Genomic DNA, 9474 nt, shown 5'->3' with positions numbered 1-9474 from the left:
GGAGGTGCTGTGGGCTTTAAGGTGAGCCCCAGGGGGAAGGAGAGGGAGGCTATGCCTGCTGTGCCAGTCCTGGCAGCCCTTTGTGGAGTTTTCATCAGTTTCAGGAAGCTTGGAGAGAGAGGGCCGCTCCCAGAACTAAGATGAACGTGGCCTAGAACTGTATCCGGGTAAGAATTACAGGCACAGAGGATCATTCCATTTAGTAGAATTCCCTGACTTTGCATCGTGAAGAGCTTTGGAGTGCCGTCTGTTTCTACTTTTGCTTGCTATTTCTGGGATCCAATATGCTCATGCTTGCATTATTTTTTTCTAAAAAGAGATTTTATGTATTTATTTATTTATTTATTTATTTATATTTTTTTGAGATGGTGTCTCGCTCTGTCGCCTATGCTGGAGTGCAGTGGCGCCATCTTGACTCACTGCAGCCTCCGCCTTCCGGGATCAAGCGATTCTCCTGCCTGAGCCTCTTGAGTAGCTGGGATTACAGGTGCCTGCCACCATGCCCGGCTAATTTTTGTATTTTTAGTGGAGACAAGGTTTCACCATATTGGCCAGGCTGGTCTCGAACTCCTGACCTCAAGTGATCTGCCTGCCTCAGCCTCCCAAATTGCTGAGATTACAGGTGTGAGCCACTGCGCCTGGACAAGACTATTTTTTAGAGCAGCAAAATTGAGCAGAATATACAGAGAATTTCCAAATGCTCCCTGCCCTCTCCCCGACATGCACGGCCTCCCCCATGGTCGACATGCAACACCAGAGAGGCACATTTATTAGAATCAATAAACCTACGTTAACACATCGTTATCACTCAAAGTTCATAGCTTACATTAGGGTTCACTCTTGGTGTTGTACATTCTATGGTTTTTGACAAATGTATAATGACAAATTGACAAATGTACAACGTTAAGCATAATCATCATTATAGTATCTTACAGAGTAGTTTCACCGTCCTGAAAATCCTGTCCTCTGTCCATTCACCCTTCCATCCCCCCAGCCCAGGCAATCACTGACCCCTGTACTATCCCCACAGTGTTGCTTTTCCCAGAGTGTCATATAGTTGGAATCATACAATATGTAGGCTTATCAGATTGCTTTTTTTTCTTAGTAATAGTAAGTTTCCTTCCTTGATAGCTCATCTCTTTTGTTTGTTTGTTTTTAAGACAGTGTCTCACTCTGTCGCCCAGGCTGGAGTGCAGTGGCACGATCTTAGCTCACTGCAGCCTCCACCTCCTGGGTTCAAGTGATTCTCCTGCCTCAGCCTCCTGAGTAGTTGGGACGACAGGCGCGTGCAACCACACCCAGTTAATCTTTGTATTTTTAGTAGAGACGGGGTTTCACCATTTTGGCCAGGCTCGTCTCAAACTCCTAACCTGAGGTGATCCACCCGTCTTGGCCTCCCAAAGTGTCGGGATTATAGGCGTGTGCCACTGCGCCTGGACTTGACGCTGATTTCTTTTTAGTGCCAAATAATATTTCATTGTCTGGAGTCTGGATGTACTACAGTTGATTTATTCATTTACTCACTGAAGGACATCTTGGTTGCTTCTAAGTTTTGGCAACTAGAATAAAGTCTATAAACATTCATGTGCAGGTTGTGTGGACATAAGCTTTCAGCTCCTTTGGGTAAATACTAAGGAGGGTGATTGCTGGATTGTACGGTAAGAGTATGTTTAGTTTGGTAGGAAACTGCCAAACTGTCTTCCAAAGTGACGGTACCCTTTTGCATTTCCACCAGCAATGGGTGAGAGTGCCCGTGGCTCCACATTCTCACCAGCGTCTGGTGGTATCAGGGTTCTGGATGCGGTTATTCTAATAGGTGTCATACTTGCATCTGTCTGCTCTTTCCTGTTTTCCTGGTGTCCCTCAGATGCACTCTGCGTACCTCTCCCTGCCGTAGAGGCTGAAATCTGAGGGCTTCATCAAGGGACTCTCCTGTCCTCTGGCTTTTGGTTGGAATTGGCCAATGGGAGCACCAGCAGGAGGAAGGAGGGAGGGACGGAGGGAGGGAGGAAGGGAGGATTATAAAATGTATTGCCCTCAGCACATGGGAGGAGCCAACCCTGATATCCCTGTCCATACCTTTCAATGGCCCTTTCTAAAACTCTCAACTTCCCCAAGGTGAGTGGGCCATCTGTTTCCAAAAGGACCCTGATTGACAGGTGGCAATCCCTGCACCCCTCACCCCCACCATCCAAGAAAGGATTTTGTATATTAATAACTAACTTTTGGTGTTTGGCCAGTTGGTACATTCCTCCATATGGTCATTTTAAAATTTCATTTCTAACAGTGGACTCCATTCATTCATTCACTTTAAAAATATGGAATGAAATGCATTTCCCTTTGGCAGCAGTGGGTATTCAGATGTATGTATCTGTGTGTTGGGAACTGAGCACAGAGGCAGAGCAGGAATTATTGTCTTCTATCCCTGATGGGGTCAGCCTGCCCTGTCTCTGCTGGGTCCCCCATGGCCCCTGACCACCTGAAAGAGTCCGGGGCAGACAACAGATGAAGAGCTCTGCCCCAGGTGGATGAAAGGACAGGACTGAAGGAGTCCAGGTGGACAAAAGGAGTTTCTGGGAAATCGTGGAGCTCAGGCTGAGTGCCCAGGAAGGATGTCATGGGGTCTCAAGAAGGGCAGAGGAACCCACAAGAAGAGACCTTATTGATTATGCACTAACATTTGCTGCTTGGCCATTGGTACATTCCTCTGTAGGCTCCTTTAAAACCTCCTTTCAGCCAGCTTGGTGGCTCACATCTGTAATCCCAGCACTTTGGGAGGCTGAGGCAGGTGGATCACTTGAGGTCAGGACTTCGAGACCAGCCTGGCCAACATGTTGAAACCCCATCTCTACTAAAAATACAAAAATTAGCTGGCTGTGGTGGCAGGCGCTTGTAATTCCAGCTACTTGGGAGGGTGAGGCAGGAGAATTGCTTGAACCCAGGAGGCAGAGGTTGCAGTGAGCCAAGATTGTGCCACTGCACTCCAGCCTGGGTGACAGAGCAAGACTCCCTCTCAAAAAAAAAAAAACCAACCAAACAAAAAAGTTCTCCTTTCATACTGTGGGCTTCTTGAAGCTGTGAGGGAGTCATCATCTATTGGGCAAGAGGTGCTGGGAAGAGTGATAAGTATGACAAGCAAGATTCCTTCCCTCATGGAGCTTATAGTCTAGGAGGGACACAGACAGGAAACTAGCAAGCCACAAACGCATCACTGAAAGTAGGGAATGCAACTCAGGTAAAGAGGGGGATTGTCAGAGAGACTAAAGGGGCGCTCCTTGGGGGTGAGGAGTCAGGGGGGCCTTTGTTTCAAGGACATTTGAGGATAAGGAACATCGAAGGATAAGGAGGCGGTTGGGTCAAGACTGGGGGTGCAGGGTGTCTGGGTAGACAGGGGATCACGTGGAGAGGAGACAGCAGTGTAAAGTGGATGACTGAGGAGAGAACACATGGGGCGGGGCAGGCACAGCACAGCCACATCCTCAGGGCCCCGCTGGGGTCCTCGCAGCCACGCTGGGCCCCATGAGGTTTAGGCAGAAAGGGACGTGATCTAGTTTCCCCTTTCTCATGCTGACCCTGCTGCTGAGTGGGTAACGGAGTGAAAATGTGCAGAAGTGGGAGAAGGGAGCCCAGTCAGACGCTTCTGCAGACACATGGGGCCCTGGAGTGTGGAGGTGTGGGGAAGGGGTCGTTTTGAAGGTGGACCTAGAGCTGGATGAAAGGCAGAAGGTAGGGGAGAGGCAAGACGATGGCTACTAAATTTCTGGCCCAGCATCTGGGTAAATGGCTGCCCTCTGGGAATCAGGAGAGTAGCATTTGGGACGTCCATGTAGAGCAGGTAGTGACCTGGAGCACAGGAGCGTGTGCTAGAGCCATCGAGTTAGGAATTGTTGGCACAGAGATGGCTTGGGAGGCCCCAGAAGATATCCACAGCCGAGTCCCTGGAACCCGTGAAGGTTACTTACCTTCTGTGGCAAGAAAGAGTCTGTGGATGTGTGTAAGGATCTCGAGACAGGGAGATGACACTGGACTATCCGGCTAGGCCCTAAATGTCATCACAAGTGTCCTTAGAGGAGGGAGTCAGAGGGGAATTTAACACAGAAGACAATGTGAAGAGGAACAGAGGGAGACTGAAGATGCTGGCCTTGAAGACTGACCTGATGTGGCCACATGGCAAGGAGCCACAGCAGCTACCGGGCACTGAAAGAGGAAGGGAGTTGGGGGCCATGGCTGTGCAGACACCTTGCTTTCTGCCTCCTGATACTGATTTTGGGTACTGGCCTCCACATCTGTTAGGGAGTTTCTTTTGTTTTAAGCCACCACATTTGTGGTGATTTGTAACAGTTCCACAGGCAACTAATGCAAATACAAAGGCACCAGACCAGCTGAGGTCACCTAGGGAAGGAGCTCATGTTGTTAGAGAAGGCGACCAAGGGTTTCTGCCTAAGGAAGTCCCAGGGGAGAAGAGGTCTCAAAGAAATATAGAGTGCTCCAGAGAGTACCGGAAAGTGAATCAACACCTGTGCCGTTGCAGTTCTTTTTTTTTTTTTTTTTTTTTTTTGAGACAGAGTCTCACTCTATTGCCTAGGCTGGAGTGCAGTGGTGCAATCTTGGCTCACGGCAACCTCTGCCTCCTAGGTTCAAGTGATTCTCGTGCCTCAGCCTCCAAGTAGCTGGGATTACAGGCGCCCGCCACCATGCCCAGCTAATTTTTATATTTTTAGTAGAGACGGGGTTTCACCATGTTGGCCAGGCTGGTCTCAAACTCCTGACCTCAGGTGGTCCGCCCGCCTCAGTCTCCCAAGTGCTGGGAGTACAGGCATGAGCCACCATGCCCAGTCACACCTGCACCGTTCTAAGGCCTCCTCTCATGTCTGTTTCCTATTTTGTGCATTCGGCCATAAAATTGAGAAAGGAAATCAAGGAACACTGACATTCTCATGCCTTTGGATTACCCCCTGTGATAACTGCTTGGGAGAGCTTAGTGCTGGAGATAATTTTCATGTTTGCAAAAAAAAAGTGATACTTTGCATCTTTTCTCTTTTGGTGTAAACATTTATAAATAAATATGGAAACCAGGTCATTAGCATATCTTAACAATCCAGCAGTGTAGGCAATTCTCAAATTATCAACAGGGCGTGTCTCGGAAGCCTGTTTTAATGCCACTTGTTCTGACATACACTTTCCTGTAGATGCACATGAATAGAAGATAAATGTAGTCATAAAGGCCAGTGGAACAGAATAGAGAGCCCAGAAATAAAGCCACACACCTACAACCATCTGATCTTTGACAAAACTGACAAAAACAAGCAATGGGGAAGGACTCCCTATTCAATAAATGGTGCTGGGATAATGGGCTCGCCATATGCAGAAGATTGAAACTGGACCCCTTCCTTATAGCATATAGAAAAATTAACTCAAGATGGATTTAAGACCCAAATGTAAAACCTAAAACTATAAAAACTCTGGGAGACAACCTAGAAAATGCCATTCTGATCACAGGAACTGGCAAAGATTTCATGACAAAGATGCCAAAAGCAATGGCAACAAAAGCAAAAACTGACAAATGGGATTTAATTAAACTAAAGAGTTTCTGCACAGCAAAAGAAACTATCAGCAGAGTAAACAGACAACCTACACAATGGAAGAAAATATTTGCAAACTATACAAATATTTGCAAACTGTGCTAATATATAGCAGACCTGGCAAAGGTCTAATAAACATCCAGAATCTATAAGGAAATTAAACAAATGTACAAACCAAAACCAAACGACGTCATTAAAAAGTGGGCAAAAGACAGAATACTTTTCAAAAGAAGGCATATATGCGGCCAACAAGCATATGAAAAAATGCTCAATATCACTAATCATTAGAGAAATGCAAATTAAAACCACAATGAGATCCTATCTCACACCAGTCAGAATAGCCATTATTAAAAAGTCAATAAATAGTCTGGGCATGGTGGCTCATGCTTGTAATCCCAGCACTTTGGGAGGCCGAGATGGGCAGATTGCCTGAGGTCAGGAGTTCGAGACCAGCCTGGCCAACATGGTGAAACCCCATCTCTACTAAAAATACAAAAATTAGCCGGGTGTGGTGGCACACGCCTGTAGTCCCAGCTACTCAGGAGGCTGAGGCAGGAGAATCGCTTCAACCCAGGAAGTGGAGGTTGCAGGGAGCCGAGATCGCACCACTGCATTCCAGCCTGGGCGACAGAGCGAGACTGTGTCTCAAAAAAAAAAAATAAAAAATCAATAAATAACAGGTGCTGGTGAGGCTGTGGAGACAAGGGAACATTTATACACTGTTGGTGGGAGTGTAAATTAGTCTAAATTAGTTCAAACACTGTGGAAAGCAGTTTGGCGATTCCTCAAATAACTAAAAAACAGAACTACCACTCGACGCAGCAACCCCATTTACTGGGTGTTTACCCAGAGGAATATAAATTGTTCTACCATAAAGACACATGCACGTGAATGTTCACTCCAGCACTATTCACAATAGCAAAGACATGGACTCAAGCTAAATGCCCACCAATGACAGATTGGATAAAGATAATATGGTACATATATACCATGGAATACTATGCAGCCGTAAAAAAGAATAAGATCGTGTCTTTTGCAGGAACATGGGTGGAGCTGGAGGCCATATTCTTTGCAAACTAACCCAGGAACAGAAAACCAAATACCGCATGTTCTCACTTATAAGTGGGAGCAAAATAATGAGAGCCAATGGGCACAAAGAGGGAATTTGAACAAACACTGGCGCCTACTTGAGGGAGAAGGGTGGGAGGAGGGAGAGGATCAGGAAAAATAACTATTGGGTACTATGCTTAGTACCTGGGAGGCGAAATGGTCTGTACAACAAACCCCACCTGACACGAGTTTGCCTGTATTAACAAACCTGCACATGAATCCCTGAACCTAAAATAAAAGTTTAAAAATGTAATCATAAAGAAATGGATGGATTGGATAAAGCTGAGTAAAAGAGGTTTCTAACCTTCAAAAATGGAGCAGACAGGCATATGTTTTCTATTAAATATGCAGTAATTATAAACGAGGCAACTAGTTTTAAAGCCTCTACTCTTCTTGGACTTTCACAAGAGACTTTGCCTTGCAAACCGTCTAACTTTCCTAGAGCAGGAAAATGCTCTGGGAATCTCAGCAGTCCCGAATGCAAGCCCCTGAACTTCAATAGGATGGCGGACACATCCTGAAAGAGAAACCCTGGTACAATTTTTGAATTGTAAATAAGAAATGGCCAATGGAGAAAGATATTCGTGGAAGCAAATGTTCTGTTGCTTCAAATTACATGAGAATTATGCTGTCCTCCGCCACCATTTGCCGTTGCCAGAGCAATTGACACCTGGACCTAACCTGCGCTCACTGCCTGGAAAGCCTGCTCTCTCTTTGCTTTCTTTGGTTCTTTCAGAACTTCTGTTAGACAATTCATTGAATCCCATCTTTCAGAAGTTATTTGGGTCCATTCTTTTCCCCTCTGGCCTTTGCATCCCCTCTGATCCTGCCTCATGAACCGCTCTGCAATGAGTGGTTAGAGCCTGCCCAGGCCAATGGCTCTTGTAGCCTGGCCAGTCTCTTACTTACCATCTGTCATCAGTTACCTTTTTCTGGATATTCTGGTTCGGTTACTGTGGAATAGTAGAAGAATATTACTACTGGTAGTTAAGTAAGACGTCGGCAAGAAATGAATCTGCAGAAAATGTACAAGACAGTGAAATGTGCAAAGAGCTTACATTCTGACAGTTATTGGTTGTGTAGGTTCCCCTTTCTATAACTGATACAATTGATCCCTTTTGAAAATAAGATCAAGCAGTTGTTTTATACCTATCTCAGGAAACCAACGTCACATAATCCTAAAACTAGCAAATAGAAAAAGAAGCACTGATACTGGATTTCTGCTTCTGGGAAATGGAGCAGACATATTCTCTCCTATTCTTCCCACTACCTACAGGAAACAGCTCGATGTTACCTATGAAACAAACATAAGAAGACTCTGCAAGGTGAAGACAGCAGACTCGTGTGGGGCTTCAGGAATGAGGAATCCTAAGGATGGTGGGTTCCCTGGGATTTCTTTTTGCCTCATGTATCCCAGACATGGAGCTAAAGAAGCCAGCAATGTGGAAATGCCATAGCTGCAGACAGAAAAGGTCCCAACAAAACCTTACTCTCTTCAGACAAGAGCACAGGAAAGGGGCAGCCTGCAGGACAGAAAACCTTTAGACATTAACTGCTCTTCTCCAGCCACTCATCACAGAAAAAACAGTGGCTCCCACCTTCACCCCACCAGCAAAGACTAGTGCAGAGCCCAGACTTCCACCCCCACCCAGCTGTAATGGGGCACCTCTGCCAACGTGGTGTTAGAGAAGCCCAAATGGGGGAAGCAGAACTTTCACCTCTGCTGAACAGTAACAAGACTCTCCATCCTCTTTGTTATTGGAGGGATCGTAGTTTCAGAAAGGACGAGCTGATCTTTCTCTTTCTGCATGTAGTAAGCCATAAAGATTCCTCTGGGAGGGGTACAGTCACCATGCCAGAGCAAGAAAATAGCCCTTATCAATAGAGGCTTGGAATTGGAGGCTGCAAGGAACCTGAATAAACATACTTAATGAAGTAACCGTCACCTTCCACCTGTCTTATACCCATACCCCTCCACATATATCTCCTAGCGACTCCCCTAGAAAATTTACTGCCTCTACCAGATTTTCTTTTTGAGACAGGGTCTTGCTCTGTCACCCAGGCTGGAGCACAGTGGTGCAATCCTAGTTCACCACAGCCTTCAAGATCTGCCACTGCACTCCAGCTCAGGCGACAGAGCAAGACTCCATCTCAGGAAAAAAAAAAAAAAAAAAAAGCCTGGGCATGGTGGCCATGCCTGAAATCCCAGCACTTTGGTATGCCAAGGTGGGTGGATCACCTGAGGTCAGGAGGTTAAGATACCTTACTATAGCCTTGAGCACCTGGGCTCAAGTGATCCTCCCACCACAGCCTCCCAAGAAGCTAGGAACAAGACATGTGCCAACACACAGCTTATATATATATATATATTTAGAGATGGGGTCTTGCTATGTTGCTCAGGCTGGTCTCGGACTCTTGGCCTCAAGTCATCCTCTTGCCTCAACCTCCCAAAGTGCTGGACTTACAGGCATGAATCACGATGCCCAGCCCAGATTTTCTTTATCCTGTCTGTCATTTCTTCTCAAATTTATCATTCTTTGTCTAAAAAGTATAAAAGCATCTTGCTTTGGCCATATCTTTGGACTTAACTCTCTTGCAAAAGTCCTCACATATATGTAAAACTAATAAAATTTGTATACTTTTGTCTTGTTAATCTTCCTGGTGTCAATGTGGTTTCTAGAGCCAGCTGAAGAGTTCACTAACAGCTAAAAGGAGAGGGAGGATTGGAGGTAATCTCTGCCTCCCCTACAACTGTCAGAATTTTATACCCAGCAAAATATAT

At 45.9% G+C, this 9474-nt stretch overlaps 2 annotated features.

Moving 5' to 3' along the window:
• Positions 3030–3530: an enhancer, noted in NCBI's record as "H3K27ac hESC enhancer chr5:14522007-14522507 (GRCh37/hg19 assembly coordinates)". NCBI's record gives its function as "activates a minimal SCP1, AML or CMV promoter by ChIP-STARR-seq in primed H9 embryonic stem cells {active_cell/tissue: H9 hESC(primed)}" and the evidence as "EXISTENCE:reporter gene assay evidence [ECO:0000049][PMID:30033119]".
• Positions 3531–4031: an enhancer, noted in NCBI's record as "H3K27ac hESC enhancer chr5:14521506-14522006 (GRCh37/hg19 assembly coordinates)". NCBI's record gives its function as "activates a minimal SCP1, AML or CMV promoter by ChIP-STARR-seq in primed H9 embryonic stem cells {active_cell/tissue: H9 hESC(primed)}" and the evidence as "EXISTENCE:reporter gene assay evidence [ECO:0000049][PMID:30033119]".

Source organism: Homo sapiens, chromosome 5 (genome assembly GCF_000001405.40).
Source record: "Homo sapiens chromosome 5, GRCh38.p14 Primary Assembly".
NCBI lineage: Eukaryota > Metazoa > Chordata > Mammalia > Primates > Hominidae > Homo > Homo sapiens.
The sequence above is the reverse complement of the archived record's forward strand: the minus strand, read 5'-3'. Positions and strand labels throughout refer to the sequence as shown.